General features: G+C 36.5%; 1 pseudogene; it reads right to left on the reverse strand.

The window, feature by feature from the left end:
• LOC100128497 (mitotic spindle assembly checkpoint protein MAD2A-like) overlaps positions 1-25,819 on the reverse strand; it is a 50,279-nt pseudogene extending 24,460 nt beyond the window's left edge.
• Between the last annotated feature and the right edge of the window lie 491 nt (positions 25,820-26,310).

Consider the following 26,310-nt stretch of genomic DNA (forward strand, 5'->3'; position numbering starts at 1 on the left):
AGAAACAGAAGGTGGCACAGAGCCATGAATTCAAAGTCATCGGAGACTTTTCTTTCCCGCTGGCACAGCCTGACTCCCACTTTAGAGAAGCAAGGCAATGCATAGGCTTTTTACGCATGATATAATACAGGGGTTGCCAAATTTTCTCTGTAAAGAGCCAGGTAGTCAATATTTTGGGTTCTCTGTTGCCACTATTCAACTCTGTCACTGTGGCACAAATGTAGCCATGGGCAATATGCAAATGAACAGATGTAACTGTGTTCCAATAAAACTTCATTTACAAAAAAACAGGTTGAGTGTGGGATTTGGCCCAGAGGCAATATTTTGTAGACCCCTGACATAATATTTTCTCCAAAATCACAAATTAAAAATAACAAGAATTCTTATAGACCTTTCACCCAGCTCCCATTTATATTAACTTTTTACATAACTGTAAGCACAATGATCAAAACCAACCAAGAAATTAATGCCCATATAACAGTATTAACCAAATTACAATACTTTAATTTTCCAATACTATTAAAGAATACACCTCTACATTTCAAGTTTTTCCACTAGTGTACTTTTTTGTCTTAGGATCCAATCCACAATTGCATATTCAATTAGTTTTTATATCCTCCAATCTGTGACAGTTTTTTCAGTTTTTCCTTTGCTTAGAGCAAGGATGGCAGATGCTGAGATGATGCAGGTGCAAATGCTTTCTCTAAGGTATCCTGGGAGGTGGTGCAAGCTGCTACAGCCTAGTGCAGCACAGGGCTGGCTTTAGCAAAGGTCATTTAAACCTAAATTAAAAAAATTTCAAGGGAGGATAATGCCTTTCTTCTTCAGTCATTGTTAACTTGTCTTTGTGATACCAGGAACGTGTAGCCATCCTACAACATATGAGGGGAAATTGTTAGGAAAAACAGAAGACAGAGTAAAGAAACAGAAGGCTTTGAAGTCTATGAAGATGTCAATAACAGGCTGCATTACCAAGACCTGAAGCCAACTACCCCATCTGAACAACTGTTATGTCAGAAAATAACCTTTGTGTAACAGTAGGCAATATAATCAGAATATTGTCTTATCTGCAAGCAAGATCATTTTGGCAAAGGACATCTATGATAACCTTAATGAAGTTTTGGAGAAGCTGCACAGGCTAGGTGTGCCACTTGTCAATATTTGGTACAGACCAATTAGAAATAATCTGATTAAATGTATCATATGTGCTTTTAAATTCTGCAAGCAAGAGAAATTCAAAATAAATAAAAGCTATCATGAGGTTTTTGAATGCAAAGACATACACAGTCAACATAGGTGAATCCTAGTGAGTAAAACAATTTCTCTTATTTAATTTTATAAAATATTTTAATAAATAGATATGTATAAAATGTGTACTAAACTCTACTTACTTTTAAAGGTTACAACTTCCCTATGTCCTTAGTGGCTCAACATGAGGCTTTTATAAAATAGGAGTGGAGAGGCCACAGGCCAAAACTATTTCTACCTTGTTAAAGTACAAGTGAAATTCCGTCCCTTTATGCTGAACGTCACAGTGTGTCCCAATTTTTTTTCTTTAATCATATTATAATTTATATGCTGCTGCAGCTGCACCCTTGCTCTATAGGGCATGGAGTAGAAGGGAAAGCTGGACCAAGCCTATTGGTGTAAATTAGCGAGAAAGGTTTCCTGGTTTCAGGGAAATCAGAAAGGTATCCTATTTATTCCACAATTCTTGTTTCTTTTTTCTAGACCTTGAACTTTTTTTCATATATATGCATATATTATAACTTGGGGAGATGAGATAGTTTTAGGTATTTTATGAGGAAAACTTCGTAAGCTTTAAAGTGCAAGTTTTTATTTAAGACATTATTTTTGTTTTTGATGAAGGAAACAGTTCAAAACCCAGGAAAATGGAGGAAAATAAGAACTTGTCACTTAGAATCTGATAAATACCAGAAAAGAGAACAAATCTTATTTTAGTCATCTATTCCCTACAAGTGCAAACAGTGAAGTGTCTGATTGTTTTGGAGACAAAAATTGTCAGATGATGCAGGTTCAAGAAAATAAAGTATACAGCATGGTTTTGTCCTATAAAATTAATTGTCATGGAATCATTACAACTAGTTAAATTTGAAGTAACCTAGCATGATATTGAAGAATGTTCTTTCATAAAGATTTTTGGTAGAACTTGTAGTTGTATGTATAAGATGGAGACACTTTAAGTTGGAGTACAACCATCTTACAATTTTCCAGTATACTTTACAGTATATCCTCTAATGGTCATTTAGACTAAACCAAGAAGAAGAAATTAAGAGTGAAAAGAAAAGCAGCTGCTTCTAAGCCTGGTTTCTACAGAGTCTAATGAAACAGAAATGACTCATGATTGTGCCAGATATGTCAGCTATTTGACGTAAGTGTTATTTTAACATCTACATCAATGGTGTTATTAATACTTTTAAAATTGAAATATCAAATGAGGATGGATCACACTCAGTTTGAGCTTAAAAGGTAGCTTCTAAAAGACTTTGAAATTAGAAAAAATGAGTGGTTAGACTTTACATAGCATTTTAAAATCACAAACCATTTTCAAGCATTTGCCTCATCAAGGAAACATTATTAAAAGAAGGAAGCGAAGCCAAATGATGCAGGTGTCTATGTGGTCAAGGTGGGACACAAATGCCATATTCAGAACCTGAGTACTGGCCACTTTCTTCTGCAAAATCCTCATTCCCATGGTAAGGCCATTGCAATATTTAATGTGACCTAAAATTTACTTTTTCCTCTTCTGCAATTTCCCAGAGACAAAAACATGGTTGAAATTATCTTAAATCTAAGAAACAGACTAAGTAATTTATTGTTTGTTTTTTCTTTCTGAACCATGCTTTCCAGTCTGATTTCTAATTATATGTGTGGGAGATTGTAGGGTTTGAAGAATCTAGTGAAAAGTGGGATTCTTAGTAATTTAAGTGGGACAAACCTTATTATCCCCTTCGACAGACTCACAGAGCAGGGAGCTGCATTTGAAAACAACTGTTCTACCCATGTCTTGATTTGGTTTCTTTGCTTAATTATTTACCTGCTACTGTTATTGTGTCTGCTGAACCTATGATAACTTAAAAAAAGGATTCTGGTTACATTGTTACAGCTGGAGGTTTTTGTTAAGAGAAAACCTTCCTGGACAATAAAACAAAACAATAATACAATATGACCAGGAATATAGTGCCTTGAAATTTTCAACTAATCTTATTGTGCTGGGGTTTTCAAAAAATTAATATTTACTTCAGATACCTCAGATAGGTGGGGTTTTCATGAGGTAATTTGTGGTCATTTTTGATGGGAATGGGACAAATATGATGTCTATTTATCCTATTGAAGGTAGTATAATACTAAACACACAAGCATTTTAAATTTCTTGGTGAACTTTATAACCCAGAAGAATTAGGATGTTGAAGAAATGTTATCACTTAATGATTGATATTTTCAATGAACAAAATAACTACAAGATCTGAAGAAAATGGATTCTCTGTCTCATAATCTCTCTAATAATCTAGTAATTTTATTATAGCACCCTACATTATACTTCTCAGAAGTATTATATCCCATTAAAGGATGCATGTGTCAGGAAACCAAAGGTTTCTTATTGACACATACAACTCTATTAACATGGAATTTAGAGATAATTTTCCTCTGTAGTTAGACTCTGTTGAGTATTTTAAAATTCGTGGGAATAATCAACACCCAGAAGAATTACATCTTTGGCAATGAAAAATGCATTGAGAGATTTTTTTAGAGCCTTTGCAAACCACTACTTGAGCTTATTATTTATGAACTCTTTGCTCTTTAAAATTGAGAACAAAGCAATTAACTGTAATTTCACACCTTCAGAAGACTAAGAACACAGTCTGCCATCTATTGTAAATTCCAAAGTGTATTCTTTCACTTAAATTTATAGTTTCCATTTTGTGGAAATTTTCCTCTTACTCCAAAGACTGTTTAAAATGAATCTTGTATTTTGTTCACTGAAAATGGGCAGTGCCGATTTTGTTCTTTAGAAAAATGAGCTTAATAGATCCCATTGTAAAAACAATTGCAGGTCCAGTATTTGAGAACATGATCCATACAGGCCGACTGTGTCAAGAGAGATGAGATGCTCCTTGGTTTGTCACTTGAATGTGGTGCTCAGAATTTGAGAAACATGAATCTGGATAACAACTGGCATCCTAGTTAGTGAGCATGAGCACTTACTACGTACTCAGTGCTTCGTGGATACCCCTCAATCCTCAAAGGGACCATACTATACTCATGCTGCCCACTAACCTAATGTGCTCTCAAACCAGCTGAGACTGGAGAGGTTAACTTTTAGCCTCAAGTCACACAGGTGGGAAGGCACCGATTTGAACCTAGGTAGTCTGACCAAAATTGGAGCACTTTCTTCCATGCTACATTCTACCGAAAATGAATAGCTGTCAAGGACTGTGAAAGGCTAAACAAGATCAATGACATTTTATCAACATACTGAAATTCAACACCTGTTCCACCAAAGGAAAGTAACATGAGGTTCATTCTTGATGTCAACAACAGAAATAACTCACTTGATTTTCACACTTAAGAGAGGCTTAAGGAATTAGAATTTAACTTCTTTACCCTTGTTCATAGGATCTTAATGTTGTCATCTCTTTCTTCTTCCTACTGCTTGGACTAGACCTTGTAACCTCCTCCTAAGCTATTATAGCATCCTACCTCCTTTAACCACCTGAATAACTATATTTTTCAAAGAGCAGTTCTGTTCATTACCACTCTGCTGCTCAAAAACACTTTCAGTGGTGGCTCAGGACTATAGGATGAAACCCATATAACCCTGATTTCTTGTGTCTGTCCCCCAGCTGTGTTTTCAACACTTCCCTTCCTTTTCCCATCAAGAGGTAATTTCTAATTCAACCATTTTCATATAATTCACTTCCTCTCAACCTCAATCCCAGGACTATTCAACAAATACTAAGATCTCACCATGTTTAGTAGCCTGTGGCAGGCACTTTAATAATACAAACTCTTCATAGATCCTGCCCTCAAGAAGCAAATGTTAAGTAGTCAAGTAAGCCATGCATATGCCCACATAAGATAACCCAAAAGAATAACTAGAGCTTTAAAGATTTTATGTAATTCTCATAGAAAGTGTATATTTATCTCAGTTATTTTGACAATATTAACAATTGAAACAGACTAATATACTTGGTATGACAATGGTGGTGAGATTAAAGTTATGATATTGACCTCAAGAGGATAGAAATGCACAGGCCCTTTTCTATTCTGCTTTCGTTTCTGAATTTATCTTATTTTGTTTTTCATTTTCCCCAAATACACTTACTTACTTTTCCACTACTGGCGACCCAATTTTCCCGGTGTATAAGAATGCTTTCTCACTCTCTGCCTATGCAAACTATATTACAGTATTATCATACTAATATATCAAAGCTTAGCATGCAGCCCTCCACTTAAAAAACTTCCATTTGTGATTTCCCATAGCTCTCAATGTCCTCCCTCAGTCTGTATTTCTGTCATTATGTGGTACTTGTATATTACCTTGACAGAGTCTAGATCAGGGTCCTAAAAATCTCTTGCATACTATCACTGGTCTCACTATCTTTTTCTTTTTTAAAATAACTTACCTCTCTTTTCCTTCGTGTGTGTGTGTGTGTGTGTGTTTGTCTGTTTTTGTCTTTTTCCAACTATGTTTCCAATGCCAAGGGCTTCAAATGTTTAATCTATTAAGCCTCAGTTGCCCTGCTTCTAAATCGGCAATGATGTTACCTAAAATATAAGGTTATTGGGGGTACCCAATGGAACACCTGGCTGGGTGCTGTGACTCACACCTATAATCCCAACACTTTGGAAAGTCAAAGAAGGAGAATCACTTGAGCCCAGGAGTTCAAGACCACCCTGGGCAACATAGTGGGACCACATCTTTACAATTTTTTTTTTAATTAACTGGGGGTGGTGGCACATTCCTGTGGTCCCAGCTACTCAGAAGGCTGAAAATGGGAGGATTACTGGAGTCCAAGAGGTAGAGGCAACAGTGAGCCACTACACTGCAGCCTGGGTGCCAGACCAAGACCCTGTCTCAAGAAAACTTTAGTACTTGACAATAGCAACTGAAAAAGTGGTGGGGAAGAAAAAAGAGAAGAAAGGTCCTAGACAGAGAATGAAAAGCAAATATATTCCTGCCCTCAAGGATATCGTAGTATCATAGATCAGGGAAATATATAGACTTCTCCAGCTCCATTTGTCTAATACAGAGTCTTAGATACTGTAATGTAATTACAGGAGCGACAGCCCATCAGGTTTGCCATGCTCTATAGGTTTGAAGCATCTTACAGGCCCTGCCTGCCCTCAAGGAGAAGAGATAATGTAAAGGCATAAACATCCAGGAGTGGGAATCACTGGGGATCACTGTAGGGTCTGCCACACTAATTTATGTGGATAACTTATAAACACACATTTATATCAATTATCTCAGTATTAAATATTAAAATTAAAGGGTTGATTAAGACATGCAGAATGTCCAAAGTCTCCATTTCACTGTGATTATGTACACATAATATTTGAAGTTTGATATCAGAAAAACTCATGACAAGGAACTTTTAAAGATAATGGAAGACAAAGAGAAATGTTTGACAAAACCAAACAGTGAGTTCTGTGGTTATGCTTACATGTTTACCTAGGAATTTTGCATTTAGAAGTCAACATATTCATGAGCCATTTTTTCCTAGTTTTCTTAAGAATAAAATAAAAATTATATGTGGTAAGCAAAAATAGCACAATAGCCTTCTACATAAAATAGAACTGGCTGCTGAAAACTAAATCTTACCCCACAGCCAACATCTGTATTTTGAAGGTCAGGGACTCACATCAGAAGTAAGTTGTGCATTGAATACTTTCAAATGAAGATCCTTACTAACTTGCAAAAAAAAAATACTTAAACATAATTTGGGCTCTCCAGAGAGAGGAGCTATATTTTAAGCTAAAAGAAAATAGCTCTTGGTGAATAGCTTAAAAAGTTAGTTTGTACTTTATTTATTAAACATTTTAAGCCGTTATTGAGAATCTTTTCTAGGTATAGAAATCTTTTCTAACACACAGAAAATTATTTATTATTCTACATGTTAGGGATTGCATGAGCTATCTATTGATGTTTTCTAAAAAATTCCCCCAAATTAGCAGCTTAAAACATTACAAATTAACACAGTTTATAAAAATCAAGAATCCAGTAGCAGTTTAGCTGTTTAGCTGGGTTGTTCTAGTTCTGGCTCTCCCATGAGGTTGCCATCAAGGTGGTGGCCAGAACTGTGGTCATCTGAAGCCTCGATTAGGGTTTGGGGATCTGCTACCAAGGTCATTCATATGGCTTAGCTGGAGTCCTCAGTTCCTCACTATGTAGACCCTACTTATAGGGCTACCCATGTCATGGTAGCTGACTCTCCCCTGAGCAAGTGATCCAGGAGAGAACAAGCAAACAACCAAGATAGAAGGTGCAATGTTTTGTAACTTAATATCAGAAGTGACATACCAGCTGGGCTCGGTGGCTCACACCTATAATCCCAGCACTTTGAGAGGCCGAGGTGGGCAGATCATGAGGTCAGGAGATCGAGGCCATCCTGGCTAACACGGTGAAACCCCATCTGTACTAAAAATACAAAAAATTAGCCGGGCGTGGTGGCGGGTTCCTGTGGTCCCAGCTACTCAGGAGGCTGAGGCAGGAGAATGGCGTGAACCCGGGAGGTGGAGCTTGCAGTGAGCGGAGATCGCACCACTGCACTCCAGCCTGGGTGACAGAGCGAGACTCTGCCTCACAAAAATAATAATAAATAATAAATAGCGAACTACTGTGTGAACAACTACTGCGTGAAGATATGTTAGAACACTCCTGGAAGAACTCAGAAACAAAGAGCCTGAGGGATAGGAAGACATGAAGGAAAAATGGTTAAAAAATAAATAAAACATTTTGAAAGGAGGGCAAACAAATAACTGGAAACATGCTTTTGATGAAAACTCTTATTTATCCACAATATTGACCCATCTTGCATGCCTTTCGCCTCAGTACTCTAGTAAATGCTTTACCTAATTTGAGACATTTCATGGTACAGCTCTTCATATCAACATTCTTGACACATATATGTTGCGCTATATTCATAATATTTTGTTTCTACTTATTTCGTCTTCTTTTCAAAGTATAGAGCTCCAAATTAGAAACCCATTCCATCTCTGCTACATTATCAATTCCTGAATCCTGCTTCTCATACGATTTTATCATCGAGCATGTAATACATTATATCATGATACATTAATAAGTCCAGGATTTATTTTCTAATCCATTGATGTTCAACATAATCATGTTAAAAAATTAAACATGAATCGAGATCTAAACCTGTTTCCACTCCTTAATCTTAGTCCATATCATTTCATAGTCATCACCACATTCTTCAGCATGTCAGTCCTGTCACAATACTTACTTTTCCATGGTCTGAAATCATATTTTTTCAGGATAAAAGGAAATATCTATTTGTTTGTACTAAATAATATAATATTTTATTCAATAATTTGTATTGAATAATGGAAAAATACTAATTAGTGATGAAGAAATATAATTTCCATACCCATCCATGTTTTGTATAAATTTCAAAAACCTTACTATAAATTACAAGGCTCTACATAATCCAAATGACATTCTCCAACTGCAGTTCTCCCTCTCTCTCAGCACACTGGCCCTTGTCCATATTTAGGCTAAGCTTTGGTTATCTCCAGATTTATGCTCATGGTATTTCCTTGCCCTAGAATGATATTGCCCAATTTTCACATGGTGGTTTAGTCATCTCACTGAGTCCTAGTTTAAATACCAACCCACTTGGGGGAATTTCCAGGACCACACTTTCTGAATAGAAGCGCGGTTTATGACTGTAATCCAGCACTTTGGAAGGCTGAGTCGGGAGAATTGCTGGAGGACAGAAGTTTGACCCCAGCCCCTGACCAAGATAGCTAGACCCCATCTCTACAAAAAAGAAAAAGTAGCCAGGCCTGTTGGTGCATGCCTGTGGTCCCAGCTACGTGGGAGGCTGAGGTGGGAGGATCGCTTGAGCTTGGGAGCTCAAGGCTGCAGTGAGCTGTGCTTGCAACACTGCACTGCAGCCTGAGAGACAGAGCAAGACCCTATCAAAAAAACCTCATCAAATATAATTGTACTGTAATATAAATTTTAAATTTGTATTTATTTACTTGTTTATTAACTGACTGCTAGATTTAATTTTGAGCTCAGGGCAGTGGTTATATGTACTTTATTCACTTACTTGTTACCAGAAAAATACAGTGCCTAGAACATGAAAGGCATTCAGAAATATTTTTGAATAAATGAATTCATAAACATCTCATTAATCAAAACCAGTTTTTTACTAAAATCCTTTATAAAATTTCACTCTCCATTCTTACTTTTCCTGAGCAAACATTTAATTTTTATGGAATTTTTGTGTCATCATTCACCCAAATGATCAGCCTGTGCAAAGCACATTTTAGGGAATGAAGTCAAAGCCTTTCCCAGGATGGGACTCATCACATTTGCTTTCAGTGGACATGCAGGGGAAAAACATGTCATCGTGTTATCATCAGGTCTCATACGGCAAATAGCCGCCACATGAAATAAGGCAATTTCCTGAAACTGAAATGCAAAAGAGCACTAAGAAAATGTCTCTTTTAAAGAAATCAGAGTGAAACTGCCAGGTAAACATCTATCTCCATAGACAACTACATGCTGGAGATACTTCTTGTTTTTATTAAATCATATAGGAAAGGCTGTAAAGAATTGCAAGTAGGCTAAAAAGTTGCATAGCTATACAGGAAAAGTGATTAGACGGAAAAAGTGGTCTTGTTTTTCTCTCCTCTCATTTTCACTGTTCACCTTTTTCCGCTTTCCTTTCGTGTGCACTGAGCACAGAATCTCTTCTTACTATTGTCTTCGGTGGATTATGTTTGTGATGATTGCTTGCCTGCACACACATAGCCATTCTTGTGCATTTATAGGAAAAACTAGTGAACTGTGATTATTCTTTTCTTTCTCTCAGGACATTGTAAACTGCTAGGAGAAGCTGAGTGAATATTATCAAATGCCTTAACAAGTAAGTGTGACAATTCTGATTATATAGTCAAAATGCTATTTGAAGCTATTTTATATAATATTCTTCTAAATATAGGAAAGAAATTCAGGTATTCTGGCATCAATAGTCCATAAAAACAGATTCTGGAAAAATAAATAAGTTGATTTGATTCTAGGTCTGACAAACTTAGTTTCAGCCTAAGAATTCTGTTGGTTTTCTTCAGAGAAAAGCAGGAATCAGACTAGATATAACAAGTGATTACACTTATTATGTTTCATAGGTTTAGAGATTGAGCTTTAAATAGTAGATACCCATGGATAAGAATGAGAAAAAATGATAGCATGTAAATACCTAGAAGAACTTTTTATTTTAATCTTATACAAATATATAATACTGGGAAAAAAGTTGGACATAAACGCAGTTGTAAAAAGGACAGTGTATCTAAGAGAACTGTGGTAATTCAAACATTTATTTTGAATCTTAACAACATTGGTTTGTATTTATGCCATACTTGTGTTTAAAAGTAACATTGACATGTTCCTTTATATTATTGATAGACACATTTCTTTATTCCTGTGATGATACAGGGAACTAAATAATCTGGTTTGCTCAAATTGAGCATATTACCAGATCAATTATGCAATCCTCATGTTACAAATGTATGCATCTTGCATTCACTATTTACATAAGCAGGCCCAGGTAGACATACCTATCACACTGATGGTCTCAGATTTTCTTTAATTCTGGCACATGGAATAAGATGGGTAAATACAGTTTTAGACAACCCTACAAGTCACAGTCTGAATGTGATTTATGGGATGTGAATTGCTCTCCTGGAGTGACTAATGCGAAGAGCCAAAGGAATCCAAATTCTCCTCCAGGGGTTTGACTGAAATGCTGGCTCACAGATTCATCTTTTGCTGTTGACCTGATTGATTCCCATGTGTGATGTTTACCCAAGTGGTCTTCAGGGAAGTTTTTAGGGATTTTCTATTGGATGTTTCAAGCTTACATTTTCCTAAACAAGAAAAACAAAAATGTCATCTCTTTCCCCACTGTTGATTGTAAGTATAATTCCTAATTTTGGTGACTTGGTATTCTCCAAAGAAAGTACCCTGGTTCTCATCGTAGCATTACACTGTGGGAAAAACACCAGGTCTGAAGTCAGTAGACTAGAATTCCTATTTTAGCCCCCAACCAGGGTTTCTGTCCGTGGACAAGTCACCTCACTTCTCTAGGTTTCAGTTTTCTTTATCTCTAAACTGGTATAGCTATCATATGCCTAAATAATATTCAAAAAACTATAATATCACTTGAGAGTTCAAGATAAAGATACACGTTACTTACCCTAAGCAACCCTAAAATAACAAGGCAAATAATGATTCATAAACAATGGATATAACATGAAAGGAAGAAATACACAATCAATCCAAAAGAAGTCACAAAAAGAATAAAAAATAAGGAGTTACTAGGTAAGACTTACATAAAACAAAAGCAAGATGGTGGATTTAAACCCAACCACAATAATCACATTACATGTTAACAGTTAAACCATTGAAGACAGAGATTTCCAGATGGGACAAAAATCAACAATACTCCATTTCAGGGTGCCTGCAAGAAGCCCACATTAAATATAAATAATTTAAAAGTATGAAAATATATCAGACAAAGTAGATTTTACAGAACGTATATACCTGGAGACAGAGGGTCATAATGATAAAGCAGTCATAATAAAAAATTCACCAAGAGCACATAATCCTAAACCTTAATTCAAGTAATAGCAGAGCTTTATAATATAAGGAGATAAAACTAATAGAACTACAAGCGAAATAGACAAACCCACATGTTCTAGTCAAATATTTAAATACTCTTTCAAAAATTGATAGAAAAAGTACATAGAAATTCAAGAAGGACATAAAAGACCTGAACATTATTAACCTACTTCACCTAATTGACATTTATAGACCATTACACCAAATATAGCATACTACACATTATTCCGAAATGTACATGTCTATGTAGAACATGCCACGAAATCCATAAAAAATCTCCTAAAACTTTAAGTTTAGCAAAGTTGATCTAAAAAATCAATAAACAAAAAGCACCTTTCTACTTACTAGGCACTAACAATTGATAATAAAAATATTGGTCCAGGCACGGTGGCTCACACCTGTAATCCCAGCACTTTGGGAGGCCGAAGCAGGTGGATTACAAGGTCAGGAGATTGAGACCATACTGGCTAACACGGTGAAACCCCGTCTCTACTAAAAATACAAAAATTAGCTGCGTGTGGTGGCGTGTGCCTGTAATCCCAGCTACTTGGGAGGCTGAGGCAGGAGAATGGCGTGAACCCAGGAGGTGGAGCTTGCAGTGAGCTGAGATGGTGCCACTGTACTCCAGCCTGGGCGACAGTGAGACTGTGTCTCAAAAATAAATAAATAAAAATATTTTAATAACATCAAAATTCACAGTACTTAGGGATAAAACTGATACAGATGTCATTAGTTTTTAGGAAAACATAAAGTAAAATCACTAGATACTACAGTACACCTATTAGAATATGTAGATTTAAAAAGACTTTATGTTAAGCATTGGTGAGGATATTGAGCAACTGAAACTCTCATATTCTGATGGTAGTAATGTAAAATGGTACAGGCACTTTGGAAAACAGGCACCATCGTAAAAAGGTAAATATGCACCTACCAATAACCTAGGCATTCCAATTTTATGTATTTACCCCACCCAAAATAAAAGCATACGTCCATACAAATACTTGTACAGAAATGTTCAAAGTAGTTTTAACTAGAAATAGCCCAGATGTCCATCAACTGGTCAATGAATAAACAAAATTTGGTATGTTCACACAATGGCACTCTACTCAGCCATAGAAGGAATTAACTACTGATGCATGCAATGATATGGAAGAATCTCAAAATAATTGCATTGAGCAAAAGAAGATGGAAACCTTCCCCCACCAAGAAAAGAGTACATACTCCATAATTTCATTTATGAAAAGTTCTAGAAAATGCAAATTATAATTACAGAAATCAGATCAAGATTTACCCAAGGATGGGAGGTATGGGGAGTTAAGGTGGGAAGTTTTACTACGAAGGAATTAAAAGGAGACTAGAAACACGAATGGGAAGATTACATATGTTCATTATTTTGATTGTGGTGATAGTCCCATTGGTATAAATATAATTCAGAGTTATCAGATTGTATACTTGATGTGCATTTTAGTGTATCTCAATTTTACCTCATTAAAGTTGTTTTGAAAACCCTAAGAAATGCAATTATAACCAGGCTTAAAGGAAGTGTATAGCCCTGTATGTATATATTAGGGAAAAGTTAAGCATGTTTCCCCTAAATGTTTAATAAACTACATTTCTGAAATGTGATTAAAAACAGGTTCTGTCCATGTGCACTTCACAGCTCTCCTCTGTTTTAAAATGGAGCAGATAGTTTTTTGTCTACCAAGCACAAAGTCGGAGTCCTTAATGGGAATAACAGAAGGCTGGCCTAGCCAGTAGCTCATCTGATTTTTAAGTACTTTCTATAATCAATAAGATAAGGAATTAGGACTTCAGGCACTTGTCACAGAGTTCAGTTCTTAACTGACTGTTGCCAATGCCATGTAGAAAATAAAGCTAAGATAATGATATTGGAGAGAATTGTTTTGAATTACATCTCATTGAGTCATTTGCTCAGATTCTAGGAACCCAATTATTTGGCCCATCTGACTTTAATATGTATTCCTAATGCTTTTATTATAAATAATGTGTCTTTAACAGCATCAGAAGTAAACTATCAGGAACATCTAGCCATATATATATATATATGTATATATATATATATACATATATATATATATATGTGTGTGTGTGTGTGTGTGTATATATATGTATGTGTGTATACATATATATACACATACATACACATACATATATTTGTACAGCTTCTGACTCTTGCACCATTTACGATAGAGTGCTCCTAAGATCTAGATCAAAGAGATTCTCTTTTCATTTCACCAGTTTTTAAAATTCATAATATTTGGTTGGCTTTACATATGGACAATGTTGTACTGAGATAGGAGGGGGAATTTGACTCCAGAGGCAGACTCGACTCTTGAGGTGTGGGGCTCAGACAGTTTTGTGCAGCTTCTCATGGTGAGGGGTCATGCTAGTTGACTTGGATCTCACATGCCCAAAACAGATATGCCATGGAAGATGACAAAAAAATATGCAGGAAGAAGTTTCACAATTAAATATTAAAAATATTGAATTAAACAAATTTAACTAGTTTTTTTTAGAGTAGCACTTCTTGGAACCTTTACGCAGCAGCTAAGTCATCAAGAGTGGTAGACAACATGCAGCTCTTTCTGAAGCTTATTTAAGCTCCAAACGCTTTTACATAGAGGTACCTATTAGCTGTACACTACAAGACTTCTGTAGTATACAGTTTAGGAATGTTTTATGGCTTATTAGTGATAATCCTGGAAGGTTGTTATAATTAATTAATTAGATCATTTGAACCACTTAAGTTATTTCACTAGAAAATTAAAACCCCAGGGGATTATAACTGACAAAAAAAATAATTCTTGCAAATTAAACATGTCATCTAAAAAAAATGAACAAATATCAATTTAAAAAAACTCTATACAAAGCAAAGGATGACTCTCAGTATGTAAAACTGAAAGAGAACAAGATAATATGAGAGAAAAGATAAGAGAAACAGAAAATGATTTCAAATGGTTCCTATTTCCACTAATAGAATTTCTAGAAAGATAGACTGAAGACAATGAGGATGTAAAGGTAATAAAAATTAACACGGAAAAATTTATTAGGCTGAAAAGAGACATTAATATTCAGATCAAAAGGGCCTACTAAGTATGAAAAAAAAATCCCTGCATTCACACAATCTTGTCATAGTTCAGAGCAAAAGAGAAGATGCTAAAAAAAAGTTGTTAAAGGAAAATGAAGACACCTACAAGGAAATGAGAATCAGTTGCGTCAGACTCACGATTATCAGCGCTGGCTGGCTATTAAAAGACACCAGAATTCATTCTTTAATGTTCTCAAGCAAAATTGTTTTCATCATAGAATGCCATACCCAGCTGACAAAGTGTGATAGACAAAGATATTTTCAGACACACAAGGACTCAGAAAATTGACTTCTCTCTACCCACCCTAAGACACACACACACAAGACAAGGCTATCATAAGAAAGAGTGAAGCTAGTCTGGGGTGTTGCTAAACGGAGATTCCAAGAAGACATCCACCTAAATATAAACAAACAGGAAAGCAGAGGACAGTAAAAAGAGTGAGTTTGAGAACAATGGAATGTACTGTGTTCAATAGATGGCAGGAGCGAAAAATGGAGGGATCAGAGTGCTTTTGCAAATAAGGTATGTATTTGCTTGTCTTCAGAAACAAAAGGTCAATTAGAATTTCTGGAAAAAAATTAGATAAGTAATGATGCAGGGCAGGCAAGCCTCAGAATTGGAGCTTAGCCCTGAGGATTCTTGACTTCACCCAGGAAAGAATTCAAAGGCAAGTCGCTGGTGTTAGACAGCAACATTTATTGAAGCGATGGTGTACAGCAGCAGCAGAGATACCATTCCTTGCAAAGCAGAGTGACTGCATAGGCAGTGTGGCCAGGGTGGCAGCTCAGAGGCAGTTCTTCAGTTGTATTTATACTCACTTTTAATTATATGCAAATTAAGAGATGATTATGCAGAAATTTCTAGGAAAGGGTTGGTAACTTCCGGGTTATTGAGTCATGGAAAGGGGCATGGAAAGGGGCAGTAACTTCGGGTGTTGCCATGACAATGGCAAACTGGCATGGCACACTGGTGGGCATGTCTCATGGCAAGGTGCTTCAACCTTGTCTATGTTTTAGCTAGTCCTCAATTTGGTCCAGTGTCTGAGCTCCACCTCCAGAGTCAAGCCTGCATCTGCAGTCAAATTCCACCTCCTACCTCAGTACAACATTGTCCATATAAAACCAACAAAATATATTAAGAATTTTAAAAACTGGTGAAAAGAGAATCTCTTTGATCTAGATCTTAGGAGCACTCTATTGTAAATGGTGCAAGAGTCAGAAATTGGATTCTTTGAGATGAAAAATAAATACAAACATTTTAGCTTGTCTTAAACAATATTTACATAGTATTAACTGTGTAAATAATATTTGTTGATTTATAATGTCTAGAATCTGCTAATAGACAAAGCACGAAAAGCAAATTAGGGTTACAGAATAAGATACGAATATTGTCAATTTCGAAATATTATCAACCACAAAAGAGGAGAGGAGATGTAGAGGAAAGGATAGGAGTGCTAATTGTTTAATCTTACCTAGTTGGCTGCCCCAAGTATACTAGAAAGCATATTGTTTAGAATGACTGTGTATTATTTAGAATAACTAGAAACAGTGATAAAGATTATATTGGCTGGGGACCTAGAAAGGGGGGAGTTAGTTCTTCTTATAAGTCCTCTGAATTTTTTTGCTTTGTTATTGTATTCATTTGTGAGGGCTGCCACAATAAATGATCACAAGCTGTATGACTTAAAACAAAAGAAATTCATTTTTTCACGGTTCTGGAGGCTGGACTGTAAAATCCTGGTTGGTTAGCAGGTTAGTTCTTTTTTAAAGCTTCTGACAGAGAACCTGTCCCATGCTTCTCCTCTAATTTCTAGTGGTTGCCAGCAAACCTTGGTGTTCCTTGGCTTGTAGCTGCATCACTCCAATCTTTGCCTCTGTCTTCACAATAGCATTCTGTGTGTGAGAGTGTGTGTGTGTGTGTCCCCATATTTCCCTCTTCATATGAAGACATCAGTCATGTCAAATCCAGGACCCAACCTGAGTATCACTTTATCTTAACTAATTATATCTGCAAAGACTCTATTTTCAAACAATGTCACATTCTGAGGTTGTGGGTAGACATGCATTTTTGGGGGAATACTATTCAACCCATGACAGTCATCATATGTGCAAGTATTAGTTGGATAAAAAGATTCATACTTTGAGAATGATTATTTCATCTAAGTTGCCCTCTTGATATATTGTACAAGCATATTTGTTTATTGGAACCCATTCTCCTATTTATTCTAAACAAATGCCGTATATGAGGCTTGGCTGCAGAAGGTTAAGGAAGCAGCCATATGAACATGCTTTTGCCCTTTCTGTTAAAGCTCTTGTACAAAACATTGTCTATGGTGTAGTTTGATCACCCTCATGTAAGGATTTTTGTAATTTAGCACCAGAAAAAGTTTATTTATAAAATGGAACACTTCCTTTTATTGACTAATTAAGAAATATATGATTCATTTTATTTCCCTTTGTCTTCACTGACAGAAAATTTTTCTGCTACACGTAGCAAATTACAGAGAAAATAACTACCTATTTATTGGAGCAAAGTCTCCCTGCAAGCAATTATTTTTGGATAATTTACCTTGCCTGTTAATTAACTAATTGACATTTAATCTAACAAATTCAATCTGTTAGAGAAACAGGAAGCTGAGCAATAGACAAATACAGTAGCTGAAAGGTACCCACAGCAGTGGGAATAAAGATGAGGTGCTACTTTAAGAAGCAGAATTGGTGGGACTTTATAAATGGAGTGAAGGAGAAAGAGAGGGGAATGCTACTCCAAGGTTGAAGGCTGCAGATGTTTGAGAGGGTGGCAGCTTGCCGACCAAGAAAAAGGAACATATTTGGAAGACAAGAAAATGAACCCAGACTTTGCTCTGGACTCCTGGTTTTCTGACCATTGAGAGGAGGGCCAGTGAAGTGTCCACACCACATAAGCAACATTCATTCATAGGTTGATTGACTTAGTCTGTGCATTCATTCAACAAATATTTATGTTCATCACTTCACTTTTCTTGATAAAGAGGAAAATAAAGACAAGTCCCTATTCTCATGTAACATATTCTAATGGAAGAAAAACACAACACATGGTCAGCTAAACATGTCACACAGTGTGAGGTAGTGAGATGAACATGGAAAAGAACTAAAGCAGGGTGAAGAATAAAGAAACGTAGGGATGCTGGTCTAGTTTCTGTCACCAGTGAAGGACTTTCTGAGGGATTAGAGCTGAGCAGATGCGTAAGTGAAGTAGAAAATCTGTGGGCATCTAGAGGGAAGAGCATGTGCAAAGGCCCTAATGCAGGTGCATTGTCTGCCTGGGAGTTGATAGGAGCTGGGCAGATAGAGGGACAGAGATTAAAAAGGAGTCCAGGAGATAGGAAGGGGCCAGCTGTTGTAGGGCCTTGGAGGCCATGGTAAAGGCTTTAGATTTCATTCTTAGTATTTTTTTTTTTTTTTTTGAAATGAGGTCTCGTTCTATTACAGCCTGGAGTGTAGTGGTGCAATCTCGGCTCACTGCAACCTCCACGTCCCAGGTTTAAGCAATTCTGCTGTCTCAGTCTCCCTAGCTCAGCTAATTTTTTGTATTTTTAGTAGAGACAGGGTTTCGCCATGTTGGCCAGGCTAGTCTTAAACTCCTGACCTTAGGTGATTCTCCTACCTTGGCCTCCCAAAGTGCTGGGATTACAGGCGTGAGCCACTACGTCCAGCCTCTTAGTGTTTTCTATTTGACCTTGTGTCCCTTTACAAAAATGGTAGCATTTTGCTGATGATAATTTTCTCCAGATTATGGGCCTTGACATCTGTCTGTTCCCCAGGAATGTTATAGACTACATATTCCTAAGGACTTGTTTTGCTTGTTCCCTGGAATCCCACCCCTACCACCAACCCCAATTAAGTAAGCTATATGTATATGCTTATTTTCGTGTGTCCAAAATTACTCTTGGCAACAGTACTGCATTTAAACCAAAGGTGCAGCTGTTTCTGATGAGCCCCTTTTTCAAGATGCATATTAGATGGAAAGAATCTGTTCCGTAGAAATTTGATTCTGAAATCTCAAATCATAGCTATAACTAAAAAATATTTAGGGTAAATGTTTATTGTTTAGATAATTTATCATAAATCCTGATGGGACCACTTATTGGCTAAAAGATTTTTAACAAGTTAATTATCTCTCTGTATAACACTTTCACCATGTGTCCAGCCAGGGGTGCAACAAATATATGTCCTAGAGATAAAAAAAGGCACAAATTCTGACATGACATGCAGAATAACATCTAACAGATAAACATTAATGATTATTGTTCTTAGGCATGTACTTAAAACCTGAATATTAGTAATACTTTTATTTATATTAAATTTTTAAGTGACATTCTTAAACTTCAGAATCTTGAAGTTTTTACTCTGATTTATATTACTTACTTGGAATAATTTAATTATTATGTCTCAAAGCCATTAACGTGTTGATATCATGTTTAAAGTTCACAACTTTGCATGTAATCTGACTTGAGTGTATTTATAGTAATAATGCTTTCATTTAAGTGTGCTCCAGCACATCTCTGCATCTGCAATGCTATATCACAAATTAGTTTAACAGTAGTTTCATAACATTATCTAATAAGCAATCTAAACCAATTGGAAATATTTCCAGTTGACCCAATGTATCTTATAAAACTCGTTGTAAATTTTGTTGAGATGTTAAGCACCTTCATATACTTAAATAAGTTATGGATAATGGGATTTGGGAATTGGGACAGTTTTTAAAAATATCTATAAGCTTTTTCCCCCCTGCAGGTTTGTTATATACATGAACTTCTGTCATAGGGGTTTGTTGTATACATTATTTCATCACCCAGGTGCTAAGCATAGTACTCGACAGGTATTTTCTCTGATGCTTACCCTTCTTTCACTTTCCACCCTATCGTAGGCCCCAGTATATATTGTTCCCCTCTATGTGTCCATGTGTTCTCATCATTTAACACCCATTTATAAGTGACAACATGTGGTATTTGGTTTTCTGTTCCTGCATTAGTTTGCTAAGGATAATGGTCTCCAGCTCCAGCCATGTTGCTGCAAAGCACATTATCTCATTCTTTTTATGGCTGCATAGTATTCCATGACGTTTATGCACCACGTTTTTTTAATCTAGTCTACCATTGATGGGCATTTAGGTTGATTCCATGTCTTTGCTATTGTGAATAGAGCTGCAATGAACGTACACATGTATGTGTCTTTATGGTAGAATAATTTATATTCCTTTGGGTATATACCCAATAATGAATTTGCTGGGTTGAATAATAATGCTGTTTTTAGTTCTTCCTGGAACCACCACACTGCTTTCCACAATGGCCAAACTAATTTGCACTCCCACCAGCAGTATATAAGCATTCCCCTTTCTCTGCAACCTCACCATCATCTGTTATTTTTAATACCACCCATTCTGACAGGTGTGATATGGTATCTCATTGTGGTTTTGATTTGCATTTCTCTAATAATTAGTAATGTACAGCATTTTTTCCATATGCTTATTGGCTGCATGTATGTCTTTTGAAAAGTGCCTGTTTATGTCTGTTGCCCACTTTTTTATGGGGTCATTTGTTTTTTGCTTGTAAATTTGTTAAAGTTCCTTATAGATTCTGGCTATTAGACCTTTGCCACATGCATAGTTTGAAAATAGTTTCTCCTATAGGTTGTTTGTTTATTCTGTTGGTAGTTTATTTTGCCGTATAGAAGCTCCTAAGTTTAATTCAATCCCATTTGCCCATTCTTGCTTTTGTTGAAGTTGCTTTTGGCACCTTCATCATGAAATCTTTGCTGGTTCCTCTGTCCAGAATGGTATTTCCTAGGTTATCATCTAGGATTTTTATAGTTTGTTTTCACAGTTAAGTCATTTCTGTTTTCACAGTTAAGTAATTTATAGTTTGTTTTCGCAGTTAAGTCGTTTCACAGTTAATTCATCTTGAGTTGATTTTGTATATGGTGTAAGGAAAAGGATCTAATCTGCCTATGGGTAGCCAGTTATCCCAGGACCATTTGTTGAATAGGGAATCATTTCCCCATTGCTTTGTTTTTGCCAGCTTTGTTGAAGATCATATGGTCATAGTTGTATGGCTTTATTTTGGGGCTCTCTATTCTGTTCCATTGGTCTATGTTTCTGTTTTTGTCCCAGTACCATATAGTTTTGGTTACTGTAGCCCTGCAGTATAGTTTAGAGTTGGGTAACATGATGACTCCAGCTTTCTCCTTTTTGCTTAGGATTGCTTTGGCTATTGGGGCTGTTTTTTGGTTCCATATGAATTTTAAAATAGTTTTTTCTAGTTCTGTGAAGAATGTTATTGGTAGTTTGATAGGAATAGCATTGAATCTGTAAATTTCTTAGGTCAGTATGGCCAATTTAATGGTATTATTGCTATCCACGAGCGTGGAATGTTTTTCCATTTGTTTGTGTCATCTCTTTTTTTCTTTGAGCAGTGTTTTGTAATTCTCATCATAGAGATCCTTCACCCTTCTGGTTAGCTGTATTCCTAGGTATTATATTTTTGTGGCAATTGGAATGAGATTGCATTCCTGATTTGGCTCTCAGCTTGGCTGTTGTTGGTGTATAGGAATGCTAGAGATTTTTGCACATTAATTTTGCATTCTGAAACTTTGCTGAAGTTGTTTATTAGCTTAAAGAGCTTTTGGGTTTTCTAGATACAGAATCATATAATCTGCAAATAGGGAGAGTTTGACTTTCTCTCTTCCTGTTGGGAGGCCTTTTATTTCTTTCTCTTGCCTGATTGCTCTGACCTTAACTTCCAATATTATACTGAATAGGAGTGGTGGTAGAGGACACCCTTGTCTTGTGCCAGTTTCAAAGGAGAATGATCCCAGTTTTTGTCCATTCAGTATGATGTTGGCTGTGGGTTTGTAATAGATGGCTCTTAATATTTTGAAGTATGTTCCCTCAATGCCTAGTTTGAGGGTTTTTAACATGAAGGGATTTTAAATTTTAACAAAGGCCTTTCTGTGCCTGTTGAGATAATCACATGTATTTTTGAGGAATTGGGACTATTTTTTTTTTACATTTTTAATACAGTTTTAGTCAATTACACATTCTCCATTCGTTTGGAAAAGTGAAGAAACTTAATATTAGAGTAAATAATTTTGCAACTGTGTTACAAAGAGATTCTAATCACTCAAATTAGGAAGATTCAAACTTGAGTGTGCATCACAGAAGAGCTTGTAAAACCAGTTTGTGGGGCCCTGCTCCCAGGGCTTTTGGTTCTGTGGGTAGGACTGGGAACTGGGAACGTGCATTTTTCAAAAGTTCCTTGGTCATTCTGATGCTACTACCTGGAGACCGCCCTTGGAGAACTAGAGCAGTATATCCTGTTCATACAACTATCATGCATATTTTTTAAAGTTATCTTAATTTGTGCACCTGCTCACCTAAGATGGTCATATATGACATTTCTACTTCTCACTTAATTTAATAACTAACTTTTGAGAACTGTGGGCAAGATGGATACTGTGTTAACACTAGAAGCAATAGTTCTCCGTCGTGAGATACTTTCTAACATTTTTCCAAAGCACTGGGGATACACCAAGCACAAAAAGTCCACATGAAAGCAGTCATCTATCCATAGGCAAATAAAATTCTGTGAGATAAGGCCAAACCACACTCTCACGGAGTCAATTTGGCTTAGGATGTGTCTGCGTGCACACATGTACATAATCCATTGAGTTAATTGATCTAAAGGGAACAATCTGGACCGTTTGGAAATTCCCTGCTTCTTGATGAAGTGGTAAGAACCACAGTTATTCAACTATAAAAGGGAATTTTGGAAAGGTCATAATGAGCTTTATTCACCCTTAGACCCAGGGCACCTAATGGGCTTGCTCTGAAGAGGGCCATTGAGGGAATTTATTTGACTTGGGCAATTTTTTCCTCCAAGTAGAAGCAAATTGACCTATCTTAAAAAAAAAAAAAAATAGCTCATAGACCCAGCAGCACAAGCTAGCTTATGGAAACTCAGATGGCAGACCTAGGAGGATGGATCACTGTTGCTCAACTCCTCAGTAAAAACAAACAAACAAACAAACAAACAAAACACCAGTGTGCTTCCTTCAACACACCTAGATGTCCTTGATGACCCCATTCTCTCTTCACGTAACTAGGCAATGATTAATTATTGCCATAGCTGATTAGGCTTCATGATATATACTTCTCACTGCCGCCACCTCTGTAAATGACCTTGCTTCAACCAGCACATCCGTCTCAGCCCAAGACCAGGTAGCTTCGCACACTCTACGATGCAACACGATAATTGGTTCTCTGTCTTGCAATCAGAGTAGCCTCCCACCACAAACAGAAACACACACTTACACACACACACACACACACACACACACACACACACACACACACACACACGGTGAATGTGAAGGGAAAGGTGAAAAATGGAGATGAAAGATGAAAGTAGAATTTTATAAATGTCTTTGATTTGACCAGTACTAATATATTGCTTCCAAATTGTGTGCTTATGCCTCTATTTCTGCTCAAATCAGGTTTGGAATTTTTGCTTTTTTTTTTTAATCAGGAAATACTCACTCTTCAGGCTCATACACAAACCCCATAAAACTGCCTATCTCATGAATACTTTGTAAGTGTGTGGCAGATAATTGCATGATATGGTATGGAATATTGGAGTGGGTGGTTGACTAAGACTGTGGAAGTCAAATGGAAGTAAAGAACGTGAGGCAGAAACTAGAGTGAGGGCCCTTTAGGGACTAGCATGAGAGAGGGTAGAATGGAGCTCGAGACCCAGGGAGGGTGGAAAGGCAAACAGATGGGCAGGGGCAGTAATGGGAGGTCAAGGAGAATGTCAGTTATGGGAGCAAGATTTGCCCGAAATGCAGATATCAGCTCACTGGAGTGTGACAGTGGGTCACAGAGTGATGGCTCAAGTTAGAGAAGAAGCACCCAGAGTCTGTGTGGCCAAAGTCCCACTGCTCTTCAGATGAAAAGTAAACACAGTCAGCTCATAACACATAGTAGCAAGCAGGGCAAAGGCTAAGTAGAATCAGCTCTCCTTATGAATTTTAAGGGTTTAGGGACCAAGGAGAATTTCATGAAGCTCACTAGATAACATTCAGCCCAGGTTATTAGAGAAAGCTGAGGGTGCCTTGAAAAGAATCATAAATACAGTGGTTAGAAAAAGATAGTAAAGGTAGCCGATCAATAGAGGATATAAAGCCAGATTACCTTGCAACATATAAAGGGATAGTTTTTTTAAAAAAAATTAATAATGGAATATCTCGTATACATATTTGTTGAGGAATGCTTCTAAACCTGGATTTGCTACTCAGTAAAGCACTGAAATGCAATTCCTTCCTATATAAGTTACTTATTTCTACATAACAAAAGACCCTACGTTGTCTTAGTGGCATAAATAACAGTCATTTGTTAATTTCCATGTGGCTGGGAGTCAGCTGGCAGTTCTGCTGATCTGAGCCAGGCTTGCCTGATGAGTTTGCTCATGTGTCTGGTGTCTGTGTTAGCTGCATTGTTGGCTGGAAGCTAGCAGATCTAGGATGGCCTTGGCTGGGATAAAGGAATGCTCCACATTTCTTTGACACCTCTCTATCATGGAGTATTCTCCTGGTGAACCCAGATAAACATACAAGAGCACAGAAATGCACTAACATTTTTCATACTGCTGCTTGCTTTCAAACTGCTTGTGATCCATTGGCTAAAGCAAGTTACGTAAGTCCAGAATAAATGTGGGACAGAATTAGGGAAAGGTTTGCATATGGGGGAATAGAGGCCACTCAGGCGTTCAGTCTATACCACCTAATTTTTCTTTGTTTAATGGTAGAAATTATAGCAATTCTGAAAGGCTTACAATTCACTATATTTAACTATGTGGGAAAAAATACCCTGCTGTATTTCTTTTCTGCTTTTTTTTTTCTATAATTATATGTATTTCCCATTTTCAGTTATCCTACCGTACTCATTTTCACAACTTGCACTATTCTTAAACGCCATTTTTTTAAGCCTGCATAACATTCTGACTTGCTGTTATGGTGTGTTAATTTAAACATTTTCAAATTATGGAAACTTTGTTATATACAAGATTGCTTCCTTAGGCGAGTTGATTTAATTGGAAATTAGTGGGTCAATCATTCTTAAGTTCCTCTGGGCCTGTTAGCAAAGTGCTTTCCAAAATATTTGTTCTACTTTCCATTATCAATTACAAATGCACCATGCTCTCTCCAACCAGGTGTATTACCTTCCTTTATTAAATATTGGCAATAAGAATAATAACTGCAGTTACCTCAGAGGGCCATAGTTGGTACTCACTGAATGAATCCATAGGAAGTCACAGAATGGTGTTAGATATTAGCTAAGCTCTAAATAAATGTTAGTAAAATTATGAATAGTATGTTAATTTGAATGTATTGGATTTTTCATGATTAAGTTTAAATGTTATATCTTCTTTTGTGAATCATCTTTTTATTGTCTCTTCTCCTCTCCTTTTGACTCCTAGCTTATTTTCTGTCATCTGAGTTTTCTTTTGCTTCCCCTACCCGTTTCTATTTCCACATTCTATTTTATATAAAAAAAATTGAATTTAAAGTTTTTATAAACTCTTTACAGAACTGCATTATATGAAGCAAATTAAGTCACTGGTTTCCACGTCCTCCAGTTTCTGCAATAATACTACATAAACAGAGAAAAAACAGGATCCGGAGACAAAGACAAGCCTGGAAATACCTTCAACACTGTTAAATAGGTCCATTTCCTTATGCTTTTTCTCAATAACTGAAATTTCTCCATTTCCCTCCATTTCCCATGATGAAGTTTGCCCAGACCAATTGGATGATGATATCACCTAGGATATCACCAATACTATCAGCTTTCTTCACTCTGTGACTGTGTAGTTCTGTAGGGGGGTTGGGTAGTTTCTCTGGAACTAATAAGAAGCTAGAATTGTTTGCTTCATGAAGAGTGGCATAGAACACTAGAATTACTCTGTGCGTGGAAGATAAATGTCTTCTCCCCTCCCTTTGTTTTATTGGCAACAATTAAGCTGATTTAAAAATAAATCCATGCTTCCTCTGTGTGGACTCCACACTTAAACATTCATAATTGCTCCCCGAACGTAATGGCCTAGATGTTACTTTTAGATAGTTGAAATGCTAAGTCATATATTTTTAAACCATTGAGTCATTGTTAATTAATGTCTATTTGTTTTAATTTTGAAGCTCTGCTGAATTAATCAATAATGGATGTTGAAAGCACAGGCCATAGTGATAAACTTATGTGACTTCTTTTTCC

Source organism: Homo sapiens, chromosome 16 (assembly GCF_000001405.40).
Source record: "Homo sapiens chromosome 16, GRCh38.p14 Primary Assembly".
In the NCBI taxonomy this organism is placed as follows: Eukaryota; Metazoa; Chordata; class Mammalia; order Primates; family Hominidae; genus Homo; species Homo sapiens.